The sequence below is a fragment of the Homo sapiens genome, chromosome 14 (assembly GCF_000001405.40).
Source record: "Homo sapiens chromosome 14, GRCh38.p14 Primary Assembly".
NCBI classification, from domain to species: domain Eukaryota; kingdom Metazoa; phylum Chordata; class Mammalia; order Primates; family Hominidae; genus Homo; species Homo sapiens.
This window is the reverse complement of record NC_000014.9, coordinates 74983509-75001012: the sequence shown is the minus strand read 5'-3', so window position 1 is coordinate 75001012 and position 17504 is coordinate 74983509.

Genomic DNA, 17504 nt, shown 5'->3' with positions numbered 1-17504 from the left:
AATTGTGTGTTAATTTTTAAATGTCTTTAAAATTGTATCAATTTACATGCTGGCTAGCATTTACCATATTATAGCCAATTTTGGATATTGTCGTTATTTTTTCATATATCAAGTCATTAAGAAAATAAGGTATATAGGCCAGGCATAGTGGCTCATGCCTGTAATCCCAGCACTTGGGGAGGCCAAGGTGGGCAGATCACCTGAAAGTCAGGAGTTTGGGACCAGCCTGGCCAACGTGGGTAAACCCTGTCTCTACTGAAAATACAAAAATTAGTGGGGGGTGGTGGCATATGTCTGTAGTCCCAGCTACTAGGGAGGCTGAGGCAGGAGAATAGCTTGAACCTGGGAGGTGGAGGTTGCAGTGAGCTGAGATTGTGTCACTGCACTCCAGCCTGGGTGACAGAGCAAGACTGTGTCTCAAAAACAAACAACAACAACAGCAACAAAAAAAACAAGGTATATAGTATTTTATATATACTAAAGAATTTATATGTGTGTGTATGCAAGTTATAAAGCATGACGACAAACAGGTTGAGGAATGTGAACCAATCCCTCACTTTGAAACTAAAATATTCGAATTAATAGAGATAGAAAGCAAAGCTGTGTTGGCCAGGCACAGTAGCTCACACCCGAATCCCAGCACTTTGGGAGGACAAGGTGGGAGGATGGCTTGAGCCCAAGAGTTGAAACCAGCCCTGGCAACATATCAAGACCCCCAGCTGTACAAAAAATTTAAAAATTAGCTAGGTGTGGTAATGCATGTCTGTAGTCCCAACTACTTGGGAGGCTGAGGGGGGAGGATCTCTTGAGCCTGGGAGGTCGAGGCTGCAGTGAGCTATGTATGATCCTGCAGTGAGCTATGATCCTGCCACTGCACCCCAGCTTGGGCAGCAGGGCAAGACCCTGTCTCAAAAAAGATAAAGGAAAGAAAGAAAGTAGAACTGTGATTGCCAGGGTCTGAGGGGAGGGAGAGAGTTGCTGTTTAATGGCTACAGAGTTTTAGTTTTGCAAGTTGAGAAGAGTTCTAGAGATAGATGGTGGATAATGGTTGTGCATTTATTTATTTATTTATTTATTTATTTTTTGAGACAGGGTCTCACTCTGTCACCCAGGCTGGAGTGCAGTGGCACGATCTCAGCTCACTGCAAGCTCCGCCTCCCAGGTTCACGCCATTCTCCTGCCTCAGCCTCCCCAGTAGCTGGGACTACAGGTGCCTGCCACCACGCCCGGCTAATTTTTTTGTATTTTTAGTAGAGACGGGGTTTCACCATGTTAGCCAGGATGGTCTCTATCTGACCTCGTGATCCGCCTGCCTCGGCCTCCCAAAGTGCTGGGATTACAGGCGTGAGCCACTGCACCCGGCCTGGTTGTGCATTTATATTTCACAACAATGTGAATGTACTTCATGCCAGTTTAGTTTCACTAAACTGTACACTTAAAAAGGTTAAGATGGTAAAATTTATGTTCCGTGTTATTTTACAATTTAGGAAATATGTGGTATATTTCACTTTTTTCTGCTCAATATGACATTCATAAAATTTATCCATGTTGTTACATGTACTTGTTATTCTCTTATTTGCACTGGTGAATTTGTACTGGTAAGAACTTGTAGTTCTCTTATTTGCACTAATATTTCATGTGACTGTAGCATAATTTATGTATTCATTTTTTTCAACAGATATTTGGGTTGTTTCCAATCTTTTTAGGGGGGTGGGTGAACATAAACTATAAATAGTCCTGTGTATGTCTTGGCACTTATATAAGTGGAACAGCTAGATCAGAGGCTATACGAATGTTCAACTTTACAAATAGATCTAGTAGTACAAAGTGGTTCAATTAATGTATGCTCCCTCCAGCAATATTTAAAGACTTTCAGCTGACCTACATCCTTACTGACATGTGTTATTACCAAACATCTTATTATTTGGGAATCAGGTAGGTATAAAAGTATATTTTACTGTGGTCTTAATTTGCATTTTCCTGATTACTGTTCATATTTTCATGTGTTTGTTGGCCATGAGTTTTTTGTGAATTGTTTGTTGTGCCTTTTACCTACTGTTTTTGGCTTAAAAATTTTTCCAAGTAGATTTGTAAGAGTTCTTTTTATATTCTAGATACTAATCTTCTTTCAATTATTTATTATATAAATAAGTGTCTTCTCCCAATTATGGCTTGTCTTCTTTACTTTGAGATGTCTTTGAACAGAATTCTTGATTTTAATGTGTTAAAATGTATCAACCTTGTCTTTTTTACATAATGCCTTTTCTGTCTTATTTCAGAAATTCAGCCAAGTGCAGTGGATTTGCCAGGTGTTGGGATTACATACCTATAATCCCAACAATTTGGGAGGCCAAGGTAGGAGGATCACTTGAAGCGAGGAGTTCTAGACAAGTCTGGGAAAAATAGCATGATGCCATCTCTACAAGAAATTTTTTAAATTAGCCAAGTACAGTGGCAGCTACTATGTGCCTGTAGTGCCAGCTACTTGGGAGGCAGAGGTGAGAGGTTTGCTTGAGCCTAGGAGTTTGAATTTGCAGTGAGCTGTGATAGCACCACTGCAATCCAGCCTAAGCAACAGAGTGAGACTTCAACTCAAAAAAATAAAAAAATTTAAAAATCCATCCAGGTGCAGTGGCTCACGCCTGTAATCCCAATACTTTGGGAGGCCAAGGTGGGAAGATCACTTGAGCTCCAAAGCTTGAGACCAACCTGGGTAACAGAGCAAGACCTTGTCTCTACAAAAAAAAATTTTTTTTTAATTAGCCAGGAATGGTGGCTCACACCTCTGGTCCCAGCTACTTGGGATGCTGAAGTGGGAGGATCTCTTGAGCCTGGGAAGTCAAGGCTGAAGTGAGCCGTGATCATACTACTGCTCTCCAGCCTGAGTGGCAGAGTGAGTCCTTGTCTGAAAACAAACAAACAAACAAACAAAAAAACAGAAGACATTCTTCCCTAATCCACAATTATAAATATAATCTCCTATATTTTCTTCTGATTACTAAAACATTTATCTTTACATATAATTGGAATTGGAATTACATATAATTTGGAATTGCTTTTTATGTAAGGTGAGAGGTGTGAATCCAATTTTATTTTTCCATTCTTTCTCCAGTGATTTTTAATGTCACCACTGTCATATGTCAAGTTTCTATAATATGTGAGTCTGTTTGGTGGCTATTTGGTTTCATTGCTGAATTTGCCTATTTCTGAATCAATATGATATTATCTTAACAATTGTCTTTTTTTTTTTTTTTTTTAAGATAGGGCCTCACTCTATTGCCCAGGCTGGAGTGCAGTGGCGCCATCACAGCTCACTGAAGCCTTGACCTCCCAGGCTCAGGTGATTGATCCTCCCACCTCAGCCTCCCCAGTAATTGGGATTTACAGACACAAGCCTTTTGTATTTTTTGTAGAGATTAGGTTTTGCCAGGTTGCCCAGGCTGGTCTTGAACTTCTGGGATCAAGCTATCCACCCCCCTTGGCCTCCCAAAATGCTGGGATTATAGGCATGAGCCACTGCACCCAGCAACTATTGTTTTATTGAAAAGTTTTTATCTCTGGTAAGAAATTTTTTCTTGCTTAATTCTTTTCTTTAAAAATTACTTAACTAGTTTTGAGCCTTTGCATTTTTATTTTATATTTTATTTTATTATTATTATTGTATTTATTTATTTATTTTTTGAGACAGAGTCTTGATCTGTCGCCAGGCTGGAGTGCAGTGGCGTGATCTTGGCTCACTGCAGCCTCCGACTCCCTGGTTCAAGCAATTCTCCTGCCTCAGCCTCCCGAGTAGCTGGGATTACAGGCATGTGCCACCGCACCCAGCTAATTTTTGTATTTTTAGTAGAGATGGGGTTTCACCATGTTGGCCAGGATGGTCTTCATCTCCTGACCTCATGATCTGCCCTCCTTGGCCTCCCAAAGTGCTGGGATTACAGGTGTGAGCCACTGCACCTGGCCTATTTTTTATTATTATTATTTTTTGAGATGGAGTCTCACTCTCTTGCCCAGGCTGGAGTGCAATGGCAAAATCGCAGTATGATCCATCCACTCCAGCCTCCCAAAGTGCTGGAATTACAGGCGTGAGCCACCATGCCTGGCCAATATTTTATTTTATTTTCTAGTGACAGGGTCTCATTCTGTTGCTCAAGCTGGAATGCAATGGTGCAATCTTGGCTCACTACAGCCTTGACCTCCTGGGCTCAAGCAATCCTCCTGCCTCAGCCTCCCATGTAGCTGGGACTCTAGGTGTGTGCCACCATGCCCAGCGAATTTTTTTATTTTTTGTAGAGACAAGGTTTCACTATGTTTCTGGGCTGGTCTTGAACTCCTGGCCTCAAGTGATCCTGTCTCAGCCTCCCAAAATACTTGGATTACAGGCATGGGCTAGTGGCTCAGCCACTTCCATATATATTTTAGAAACAGCATTGCTGAAACGTATTTAAATTAAAAACTTTATTGATATTTTGGTTGGAATTGCTTTAAATCTATTAATCAATTTGAAGAGAATTGACAACTTTAAGACAATAAGATACCAAGTCTTTCCATGAACATGGTATATATTTCCATTTATTTAGGTTTTTACTATCTTTCAGTAAAATTTTATAATTTTCTCCATGTAGGCCTTGCACATCTCATGTTAAGACCTATTATTAGCCACTTTCTATTGTGTCCGGAATTGGTGGGTTCTTGGTCTCACTGACTTCAAGAGTGAAGCCGCGGACCCTCGCGGTGAGTGTTACAGCTCTTAAGGTGGCGCGTCTGGAGTTGTTCATTCCTCCCGGTGGGCTCGTGGTCTCGCTGGGCTCAGGAGTGAAGCTGCAGATCTTTGCGGTGAGTGTTACAGCTCATAAAAGCAGCGTGGACCCAAAGAGTGAGCAGTAGCAAGATTTATCGCAAAGAGCAAAAGAACAAAGCTTCCACAGTGTGGAAGGGGACCTGAGCGGGTTGCCAATGCTGGCTTGGGCAGCCTGCTTTTATTCTCTTATCTGGCCCCACCCACATCCTGCTGATTGGTAGAGCTGAGTGGCCTGTTTTGTCAGGGCACTGACTGGTGCGTTTACAATCCCTGAGCTAGATACAAAGGTTCTCCACGTCCCCATCAGGTTAGTTAGATACAGAGTTTCGACACACAGGTTCTCCAAGGCCCCACCAGAGCAGCTAGATACAGAGTGTCGATTGGTGCATTCACAAACCTTGAGCTAAACACAGGGTGCTGATTGGTGTGTTTACAAACCTTGAGCTAGATACAGAGTGCCGATTGGTGTATTTACAATCCCTGAGCTAGACATAAAGGTTCTCCAAGGCCCCACCAGAGCAGCTAGATACAGAGTGTCGATTGGTGCACTCACAAACCTTGAGCTAAACACAGGTTGCTGATTGGTGTGTTTACAAACCTTGAGCTAGATACAGAGTGCCGATTGGTGTATTTACAATCCCTGAGCTAGACATAAAGGTTCTCCAAGGCCCCACCAGAGCAGCTAGATACAGAGTGTCGATTGGTGCACTCACAAACCTTGAGCTAAACACAGGTTGCTGATTGGTGTGTTTACAAACCTTGAGCTAGATACAGAGTGCCGATTGGTGTATTTACAATCCCTGAGCTAGACATAAAGGTTCTCCAAGGCCCCACCAGAGCAGCTAGATACAGAGTGTCGATTGGTGCACTCACAAACCTTGAGCTAAACACAGGTTGCTGATTGGTGTGTTTACAAACCTTGAGCTAGATACAGAGTGCCGATTGGTGTATTTACAATCCCTGAGCTAGACATAAAGGTTCTCCAAGGCCCCACCAGAGCAGCTAGATACAGAGTGTCGATTGGTGCACTCACAAACCTTGAGCTAAACACAGGGTGCTGATTGGTGTGTTTACAAACCTTGAGCTAGATACAGAGTGCCGATTGGTGTATTTACAATCCCTGAGCTAGACATAAAGGTTCTCCAAGGCCCCACCAGAGCAGCTAGATACAGAGTGTCGATTGGTGCACTCACAAACCTTGAGCTAAACACAGGGTGCTGATTGGTGTGTTTACAAACCTTGAGCTAGATACAGAGTGCCGATTGGTGTATTTACAATCCCTGAGCTAGACATAAAGGTTCTCCAAGGCCCCACCAGAGCAGCTAGATACAGAGTGTCGATTGGTGCACTCACAAACCTTGAGCTAAACACAGGTTGCTGATTGGTGTGTTTACAAACCTTGAGCTAGATACAGAGTGCTGATTGGTGTATTTACAATCCCTGAGCTAGACATAAAGGTTCTCCAAGGCCCCACACCAGAGCAGCTAGATACAGAGTGTCGATTGGTGCACACACAAACCTTGAGCTAAACACAGGGTGCTGATTGGTGTGTTTACAATCCCTGAGCTAGATATAAAGACTCTCCATGTCCCCACCAGACTCAGGAGCCCAGCTGGCTTCACCTAGTGGATCCCGCACTGGGGCTGCAGGTGGAGCTGCCTGCCAGTCCTGTGCCTTGCGCTCGCATTCCTCAGCCCTTGGGTGGTCGATGGGACTGGGCGCCGTGGAGCAGGGGGCGGCATTCGTAGGGGAGCCTCGGGCTGCACAGGAGCCCACGGAGGGGGTGGGAGGCTCAGGCATGGCGGGCTGCAGGTCCCGAGCCCTGCCCCGCGGGAAGGCAGCTAAGGCCCGGCGAGAAATCGAGCACAGCGCCGGTTGGCCGGCACTGCTGGGGGACCCAGTACACCCTCCGCAGCCACTGGCCCGGGTGCTAAGTCCCCCATTGCCCGCGGCCAGCAGGGCTGGCTGGCTGCTCCGAGTGCGGGGCCCACCAAGCCCATGCCCACCCGGAACTCCAGCTGGCCTACAAGCGCTCCCCGGTTCCCGTTCGTGCCTCTCCCTCCACACCTCCCTGCAAGCTGAGGGAGTGGGCTCCAGCCTTGGCCAGCCCAGAAAGGGGCTCCCACAGTGCACTGGGGGGGGCTGAAGGGCTCCTCAAATGCCACCAAAGTGGGAGCCCAGGCAGGGGAGGTGCCAAGAGCAAGTGAGGGCTCTGAGGACTGCCAGCATGCTGTCATCTCTCACTATGTTTGTTGCTGTTGTAGATGATTATCATTCTTCTTCATCATTGCCAACTTGATAGTGAAAATACAACTCCTTTTAATTTTCATTCTTTGCTTATTAGTTAAGATGAACATTTTTTCATATATTTATTTGCATTTCTTCTCTTATGAATTTCTGGTCATATGGTTTGCCCCTTTTTCTGCAATGTGTGGCAGATATTTTGGTCATCCACCCAAATTCATTTCTTTCTTCTTCCTCGTTAACAGAACTGATTTTGCTTGATTTCTGTCTACAGATAAGGTGACTGTAACTCATGGGTAAACCCTAATTGGTCTAAACCAATCATGGTAATTCCATTCTCCTGTTTTTACAAATTGGTGTAGCGTAACCTATTTTCTAGCCAGCAGGATATGAAAGAGGTCTGTTTGGGATTACCTGGAAAGGTTTCCCTGCTCTTAAGAAGGAAGCAGAGAAGACTACTTAGTCTCTTCTATCGCTGGTCTTTTTGAATATGATGCCTGGACATACTGCAGCTGTCTTGTGACCTGAGGTCTCAAGACTTGGGAATAAGGTTAACATGCTGAGGATAGGAGAACAGAAAAACAGAAAGAAGCTGGGTGTGGTGGCTCACACATGTAATCTCAGCACTTTGGGAGGCGGAAGTGGGAGGATCGCTTGAGGCCAGGAGTTCAAGACCAGCCTGGGCAACATAGTGAGCTCTGCCTCCCCCTTACCAAAAAAGAAGAAAAGAAAAACAGAAAGGACCTAGGCTCTTGACAATATCAACACTTAATGGGTATTTTATGTATATTAACTCTTTTCATTCTTACAAAAACCTTGAGATAGGTGCTCTTAATGTAACCATTTTCAAAAGAGAAACTTGAGGCAAAAATAGGTAACTCGCTCAATGTTACACACCTAGTAAGTGGAAGAGCTGGAATGTAAACACAACAGTCTGGCTTCAGAGCCTGAACTTTTAGTCTATGTACTGTGGTATCTTTTATTAAAATTTTGTATGAAATCAACAAAACCAGAAGTTGCCCTACCTTTAGACTCTTTATGTAAAATGATACATTTCTCTATTGTTTATATAATTTTGAATGGAGTTCTCTATCACTTGCAGTCCAAAGCAACTTGATATTGGGTATTTATCTGTTTTTAGTTGATTTGTAACATCTATTTATATACTGCATTTAAGATACCAACCATTTGACTGCCATTTGTGCTGCGATATTAGTATTTTTAGAAATTTTGTCCCAATTCTCATATATTCCTGTGGGAGCGCAAATTAAAGCACCTTTTAGTAGCTGTTTTAGTTGGGAAAACAGCAAAAGACTTTAAAATGTTCATTTATACCCTTTGAGCCAGCATATCCATGTTTAGAAATGCATTCTAAGGAAATAATCAGAAATAGGCATACAGTTATCCACAATAATATTTTTCTTTTATTTTTATTGTTTTCTTTTCTTTTTGAGACAGAGTTTTGGTTTTGTCACCCAGGCTGGAATGCAATGGTGCAATCTCGGCTCACTGCAACCTCTGCCTGCCGGGTTCAAGTGATTCTCCTGCCTCTGCCTCCTGCCTAGCTGGTATTACCGGCCTGAGCCAGTACACCTGGCTAATTTTTGTATTTTTAGTAGAGATGGGGTTTCACCATGTTGGCCAGGCTGGTCTCAAACTCCTGAACTCAAATGATCCGCCCACCTCAGCCTCCTAAAGTGCTAGGATTACAGACGTGAGCCACTGCGCCCAGCCCACAATAATATTTTTCACTTTATTATTTTTAACACAAAAATCAGAAATAAACCTAAATATTAAAAATTAGGAGATTGGTCTAGAACATTATAGTACAAAAAGTACTTTCAACCTGGCTGTTACCATGCTTGCGAGCTATATTACCTTGATATAAAGTAGTCTGATTAACATTTGGAGCTAAAATGGTATTAGCTTTATTCTCTTTATTCTCTTCTTTATTCTCTTAAACTTGGAAGATGAGCTACTTTCTATTGAAAGTAATTCTTGTTTTTGAGACTTGAAAGCTGAAAGGTACCTCAGGTGCTTTATAGTTTCCATGTATCTTTGTGATTCTTCAAAACTGAAATGGAAATTATGATTGCGTATTTGTTATATAATTATTTTCAAAACAAAAGAATGTTATAGTACAGTCATACAATGGAATATCGATTTTTGGAATTTTGATATGGTAAATGCTTAACAATAAGGAGAACTGTTGATAACATATTGTCAGTTTTGTTTATTTTCTATTTTTATTTATTTATTTTTTTTTGAGATGGACTCTTGCTCTGTCACCAGGCTGGAGTGCAGTGGCACGATCTAGGCTCTAGGCTCACTGTAACCTCTGCCTCCTGGGTTCAAGCAATTCTCCTGCCTCAGCCTCCCGAGTAGCCGGGACTACAGGTGCGCACCACCACGCCCAGCTGATTTTTGTATTTTTCATAGAGATGAGGTTTCATCATGTTGGCCAGGATGGTCTCCATCTCTTGACCTCATGATCCGCCTGCCTTGGCCTCCCAAAGTGCTGGGATTACAGGCGTGAGCCACCACGCCCGGCCGTATTATCAGTTTTAAAAGGCGGATTGCACACAATCACTCTTGAAAATAGTTGGGCAGTCCCTTTCAAAACTAATAATGAACTTATAATACAACCCAGCAATTGTATTTTTGGTGATTTATCCCAGAGAAATGAAGAACGTCTACATAGGAACTTGCAGGTGAATGTTCATGGCAGCTTTATTCATAATAGCCAACAACTGGAAACTACCCAATGTCTTCCAACTGGTGAATGTTTACACAAACTGTACATCCATACCATGGAATACAGCTCGGTAATAGAAAGGAATGAAATATCGATATATCCAACAACTTAGACTAACCTCAAGGAAATTATGCTGAGTGAAAAAAACCCATCTCAAAAGTATAGGCCAAGAGTGGTGGCTCACGCCTGTAATCCCAGCACTTTGGCATGTTGGGACAGGCAGATCACTTGAGCCCAGGAGTTCAAGACCAGCCTGGGCAACATGACGAAACCCCGTTTCTACTAAAAATACAAAAAAAAAAATTAGCCAGGCATGGTGGCACATGCCTGTAATCCCAGCTACTCAGGAGGCTGAGGCACAAGAATCACTTGAACCCGGGAGGCAGAGGTCACAGTGAGCTGAGATCACGCCACTGTACTCCAGCCTGGGTAACAGAGCAAGACCCTGTCTCAAAAAAAAAAAAAAGTGTACATACTGCATAACTTTACTTATGTAACAATCATGAAATAACATAATTATAGAAATAAAGAATAGATTAGTGGCTTCCAGGAGTTACAGATGGGTGGGATGTGTGGCTACAAAGGAGTAACACTAGGAATCTTGTGATATTAATAGTACACTTGGGTTTCTTGATTGTGGTGGTGGTTATGCAAGACTACCTGTGATAAAATTGTGCATATACACACACACACACACACACACACACGGAATGCATGTATGAAATCTGAATAAGCTCTGTGGATTGTACCAATGTCATTTTCTTGGTTTTGACATTGTGTCATGGTTGTATAAAATGTTAGCATTGGAGTAGTCTGGGGGGAAGGATGCAAGAGAGAGAAGGATATACATTTATTTGCAACCTCCTGTGAATCTACAATTATTTCAAAATAAATAGTTAAACAAACAAAACCAGGATTTATGAAATAAAAACATCTATTTAAAAGAAAATTATAAAATTATAAAGCATTACATTTGGGGGATGGTCATTTTTTTTTAAGAGACAGGGTTACTGTGTCGCCCAGGCTGGGGTGCAGGGGTCCAATCATAGCTTACTGTAGCCTCAAACTGATCCTCCCCCTTCAGCCTCCCAAGTAGTGAGGACTACAGCTACAGGTGTGGGCCACCACATCTGGCTAATTTTTTTTTTTTTTTTTTTTTTTTTTTTTTTTTGTGCAGACAGGATCTTGCTATGTTCCCCAGGCTGGTCTTGATCTCCTGGCTTCAAGAGATCCTCCCATCTTGGCCTCCCAAAGCACGGGGATTACAAGCGTGAGCCACTGTGCCCAGTGAATTTTTAAAGTAACTCTAGCTGTAATTGTTAAATGACACAATGCTAAAATAGATCTTGAAAGAGGCTGTTTAAAGTCTCTCTCTATATGTATTTTTTTTAAGACAGAGTCTTGCTCTGTCACTCAGGCTGGAGTGCAGTGGTGCAATCTCGGCTCACTGCAACGTCCGCCTCCTGGGTTTAAGCAATTCTCTGCCTCAGCTTCCTGAGTAGCTGGGATTACAGGTGCTTGCCACCACGGCTGGCTAATTTTTGAATTTTTAGTAGAGACGGGGTTTCACCATCTTGGCCAGGCTGGTCTTGAACTCCTGACCTCGTGATCCACCCGCCTCGGCCTCCCAAAGTGCTGGGATTACAGGCATGAGCCACCGTGCCCGGCCTAAAGTCTATAATTTTTTTAAAGCAGGATGTAAAAATAGTATATTTGGTGGGACCTCAATTTCACTCTAAAAATATACTTTATTTGTATGTATTATATATATATAAATATACACAATACACATATTCTTACACATACATATATATGTATATAGGTGTGTGTGTGTGAAGTGTGTATAATGACATATACTATGACATTAACAGTGACTATCTCTGGATAGTACGATTACAGGTTTATCAGAGACAATTGCTCCCAAAGCCACTCTCCCCTCCTATAGTAATAGAGTTTTAGCTGGGAAAATAGCCACCCAGAATAGAAACTACATTTCCCAGTCTCCTTCACAGGTAGATGTGGCCATGTGCCTATGTTCTTACCAATGGGAAGGTGTGGAAGTATTAACATTTTGTTGCTGCTTTTGAGAACCTTCCCTAGGAGATAGCTGGGATGGGTCTTTGGCCTCTTCATGACTTTCTCTTTCTTGCTGCATTTCTGCTCTGCCAGCTTAGGTGATGAGGATACAGGTCCTACTGTAGGGATGGCAGAGGAGTGAGCCAGAAGGAGCCTGCACACTCTGAGGTCTCTGCGGAGTGGAGCTCCCATACCAGCCTGGAATATTCACCTCTGGGCTTCATACAGCTGAGAGCTAAATAAACTTCAGTCTTGTTTAACTTCCACAGTTATCTAGGAGTTTCCATCACTTGCAGTCACACCCAACTCTAATAAAATGCAAGAATGATTTTTATTTTTATTTGTGTACTGTTCTGTATTTTCCAAAATTTCTACAGTTAACATATGCCGTTCATAATGAGAAGTAAAAGTTATTTGTAAGAAACATAAGAAATCCATCAGGCCCATTCTTTCAGCCAGAAATATGATTATGTTGATCAAATCTTCCAGATTTTCCAGAAATGTCCCAATTCCAAACATTATGGCTGATTGTCTGCATAATTATCAAATAACAGTTTCCTGGACTTAATTTGGAGAATACGGTGATTATGATGATAATTCTGAACTGGGGGCAGCAAGGCTTACTAAAATGTTTGTGTCTTTATCCTTCTGTTCCAAAGAATCTCCTTTAGGCCATAGGATCACTTCCTTTTCCTGAAGGCCTTTGACTCAACACTTGGGCATGTGAATGCACTACTGTTTTTATCCTTCTCTGATTGTTTTGGTGGATAAGTCATGTCTCTATGCAACCTGAGAACAAGTGCTATTGTAGTAGACACCTGTTGTTTTTGTCTGCCCTGCACCCGCTTTCCGTTGGGAACTGCCCTTCCTCATCTCATGTGATTTGGGTGGAACTGTCAATCCCAGCACCTCCTCGTGCCCCAAGTGGCCCCTAACCACAGGCCTGGCCCCCCACACCTGGGACTGGTCCATCATCCAACTTCCACGCTGATTGGTCATGCAAAGCCATTCAGTCCTGTGATTTGCTATATGGACCCTGGAAGAAAGCAGGTTTCTGTCCTCATCTGCTGTAAAGAGGTTGGCTTTGGACTAGCGGTGGCTACCTTTCCTGCCTCATGGGGAGAGCTTGTCTAGTGTAGGAGAAAGTCAGCCAGCTGCTCCAGGAGAAGCAAGTAGAGCCCAGTCCTAGACAGAGGGAGAAAGAACAAATGAGCTGATGATTTGAGATGAGCTGATGATTTGAGATGAGCTGACATGGGCCCTTAGATCTAGCCATGGCTGAAGGTACAGCCACCCTTGGACTTCTCAACAAATTCCCCTTTGGCTTAACTTTTTGGGTTGCTAGAGCCTTGCCTAAGCTTCTTGTGTCCTCCCAGGAGCCCAAGCCTATTTTCAGTCAAGGGAGGAGTGTGTTATTTGGTTGCTTCTGCTAAACAAGAAATTAATCTTGCTCTAAATACAGATTTATATTTTGTGGCATCTGGCTCTGTTCTTGAGCTTCCCTGACACTTTATCATGATCAATTGCTAGGAATCGTTTTTTTTGTGTGTGTGTTTTTTTTGAGAAGGAGTCTCGATCTCGTCACCCAGGCTGGAGTGAAGTGGTGCAATCTCAGCTCACTGCAACCTCTGCCTCCTGGGTTCCAGTGATTCTCCTGGCTCAGCCTCTTGACTATCTGGGATTTACAGGCACGCGCCACCACGCCCGGCTAATTTTTGTATTTTTGGTAGAGATGGGGTTTCAACATGTTGGCCAGGCTGTTCTCAAACTCCTGACTTCAGGTGATTCACCCGCCTCGGCCTCCCAAAGTGCTAACATTACAGGCGTGAGCCACTGCGCCAGGCCAATTGCTAGGAATTTGAAGGGAAAGTCTAATGACAGACACAGGTAGTGGAACCCAGGGTACGTGATTAGAAAAAAAAAAACAATCTTACCCTATTGTTAGTAGGATTGTGTATTAATTGTTGCTCTTCATAGATCAACATATTTAACATGTAACAAATATTTATTATGCACCTTTATACCAAGCACCAACATTGCATACTGGAAACAGGCCCTGTACAAGGAGAAACTCAATACTAATAAACAGATCATCCCTTATACTTTAGAGGATTTTTGCTTTTTGGTTAGAGACTTTCATTTTCCTTATCTCTTTTGGTGTCTACAACAGCCCTATGAGATGGGTTGGTTCTGGTCAACAGATAGTTATTCTGCAATTGATAGGTCCCTTCTGCTAAGTGAGAATGTCCAATCATTTAGGTACACAAAACAATATAGTCTGAGATTCTGAAAGAAAAAACAAGTGGCGATCAAGGCCCAGTAGCCAGTTATTCTCTTAGTCACTGAACGTTAAATCATTTAAAAGCTGGGGTTTGAAAGTCACACACATCTCCTGGAGTTTGCCCCTCACAAGCTGGGTGACCTTGTCTGTCAGTGGAGATGTTAGTAACAGGGAACTCTGATAAATGGTAAGGATCTCAAACATTTAGAGACATGTACTACTACTGGCCTTTTTTTTTTTTTTTTTTGAAACAGAATCTCATTCTGTCACTTAGGCTGGAGTGCAGTGACACGATCTCATCTCCCTGCAACTTCTGCCTCCTGGGTTCAAGTGATTCTCGTGCCTCAGCCTCCTGGGTAGCTGGGATTACAGGCGTGGGCCACCACACCTGGCTAATTTTTGTATTTTTAGTAGAGATGGGGTTTCACCATGTTGGGCAGGCTGGTCTTGAACTCCCGACCTCAGGTGATCCACTGGCCTTGGCCTCCCAAAGTGCTGGTATTACAGTCTGAGCCACAGCACCCGACCTACTACCGATCTTTAAAGTAGCAGGTCTGGATACCCATTACATAAGAGAATTTTTAGAACTCTCCATAAAAGGTGATTCTGGTAGACCTGGTTGTAATTTCAGACTGGACAATTCAGAGAAAAATAATATCGACTTTTATTTTGATAACTCCTCTCTTTCAAGGACTCCCCAGTTATTTTAACTACCTGAGAATGTCTCTTTCAAGGACTCCTTGCATGGTGGTGCAGCCCCGTCCAGATGCCTGTGTCCTGGGTCCCAGCAGATTCCTGCCACTCTTGGAGCAGACATGGCCCTCGGTGACCAACCTGCAGGCAGCAGACCCCAGAGGCCCAACACTCCCTCACTCGCATCTGACTCCCCTCTGTCCCAGGAATAGTTTCTGTCCCTGGTTTGATGGCCGTGGCCAGGAATATTCTAACAGACAGTCATTGTCTAACTTCAGAGGGTAGTTTGATTAACTGGTTTCTGAGCAGGGTTTTCGGGCAAGAAGGCAAAACTTCTCAAGCTGCTCTCTCCATTGCACAGAATGTGGAGGTGGGGATAACTGAAGTCAGAAAATTCTTTCCAGTCTCAGCTAATTTCCCTTCTTGGGGCTTGAGGAAGAAGAATCACAGTGGCCTGCACTGATGAAGCACCTGCATTGTGCCAGAGACTTTTTATAATCACCTCGAAGTCTCCCAGGGCTCTGTACGGTAACATAGGCATGTTAACATCTTCATTTTACAGCAGAAGAAGCTGAGGCTCAAGTTGAGTGGCTTGCCACTGGTGGGGACCAAGTGTAGGTTCTAACCCAGGGTGTCTGTCTCCAGAGACTGCCACAGTGCCTCCTAATTCCACCACGGCCACATCCTTCTTGTTAGAATGGGAGGAATGGCCTTGAGGGGTCAGACAGGGGCCAGGCTCCCACCAGCCTCTAAAGCCTTCAGGACCTTGGTGATAGAAGCTCTGCGTCCCTCTCCTTGCCCCCTGAGTATGAAGCTGACAGATGAAAGTGGAATGGGTGCCAAGGAAGCTGGGCGTCAGGCTTCTGAGAGCCGAGCCCCAGCCTCGATAAGATGCCTGGCACACACCTGAGGGCACCGGGGAGTGGAGAGGAAGAGTCCTGCTGGGTTCTGAATGCGGGGCCGCCAGTCCCTATCCCCTAAGGGAAGAGAGCACAGAAACTTCCCAAGGCTCATAGGCCCCAGCCTGGGGTGGACAGCTCTGCAGAGCCCAGTGGCCAGTCACACTCCGTGGGAAAGCCTTGGCCCTGGCCCCCCCGGGAGCCACGCTGGTGCCGCCTCCTGCCCACGGCTTGGCTCAGCGGGTTCCCAAGTGGCTTTACTTCCTCCCCCCTCTTGCTCCCACCTCCCACAGTCCCCAGGGAGACAGGGAGGCCACTGGCAGAGTTGACCCTCAGTCCCCAAGTCCCACAGGCCCCTGCAAGCGCCTTCCCCCACACACCTCAGAGCCAGGCTTCCCCAGGAGGAGCAGGAGGGGACTCTACCCCTCCCCAAGGAGCCCCTGCCCCAGGTCCATTTAGGGCTGGCCGGCCCCATCCCCACTCCTTCCGCTGTCCACTGAGGCTCCACTCTCGGCTGCAATAACAGGGCTTTGGGTATGGGCTGTTGTTTTTGCAGCTGGGATGGGGCGGAGCAGCAGCGGGAAGGCGTCTAGGGCACTGACCGTCTGAGAAAGCCCCGAGCCCACATTCCCACTAGGCCCAGGGCAGCCCCTTCAGGCTAGTGACAGAGCTGTTCCTGGGGAGAGAGGCCCATGGGCGAGGCCCAAGCATAGAGGGCAGGCAGAGAAGGAGGCCAGCCAGTAGGGCTGAGAGAGTTTAGGGGAGCCTAGGAGCCCCACGCCCTCTCTGAGCCACCCCTCCCCAGATGACTGTGGCCTCCCTCGTTTCTAACTGCAGCTGGACCCAGCCTCTCCCCGCTCGCCCAGCCCCCGCACACATCTGGGAGATGCTGGAGAAAGCTTCTTTAAAACCAAGAACAAACACAACCAAACATCTCATTTACTAAGGGGAAAATGCTGGAAACTAAAAAGAATGAAATCAAGATCACCCCTAGTCCCTTCATTCAAAAATATTCATTATGAACATCTTGACATATTTCCCCATAAGCTATTTTTAAAGTTGTGGTAAAATAGACATAACATAAAATTTACCTTTTTAAAAATTTTATTTATTTATTTTTTTTTTTTTTTGAGATGGAATCTCGCTCAGTTGCCCAGGCTGGAGGGCAGAGGTACGATCTCAGCTCACCGCAACCTCTGCCTCCCGGGTTCAAGCAGTTCTCTTGCCTCAGCCTCCCGAGTAGCTGGGATTACAGGCGTGTGCCACCACACCCGGACCAATTTTTTTGTATTTTTAGTAGAGATGGGGTGTCACCATATTGGCCAGGCTGGTTTCGAACTCCTGACCTTGTGATCTGCCCACCTCGGCCTCCCAAAGTGCTAGGATTACAGGCATGAGCCACCGCACCCGGCCCTAAAATTTACCATTTTAACCATTATTTTGTGTACAGTGGCATTCGTACATTCACACTGTTTTACAACCATCATCACCAGCCAGCTCCAGGACTTTTCATCTTCCCAAACTCTGTACCCATGAAATACTAACTCCCCATTCCCACCTCCCCCCAGCCCCTGGCAACCACTTTTCTACTTTCTGTCTCTCCAAATTTGGCAACTCTAGGTACCTTGCCTAAGTGGATCATACAGTATTTGTCCTTTCCTGTCCGGCTTCTTTCACTGAGCATATTAGCTTCAAGGTGCATCTATGTTGCAGCATGTGTCAGAATTTCCTTCCTTTTAAATGCTGAGTAATATTCTG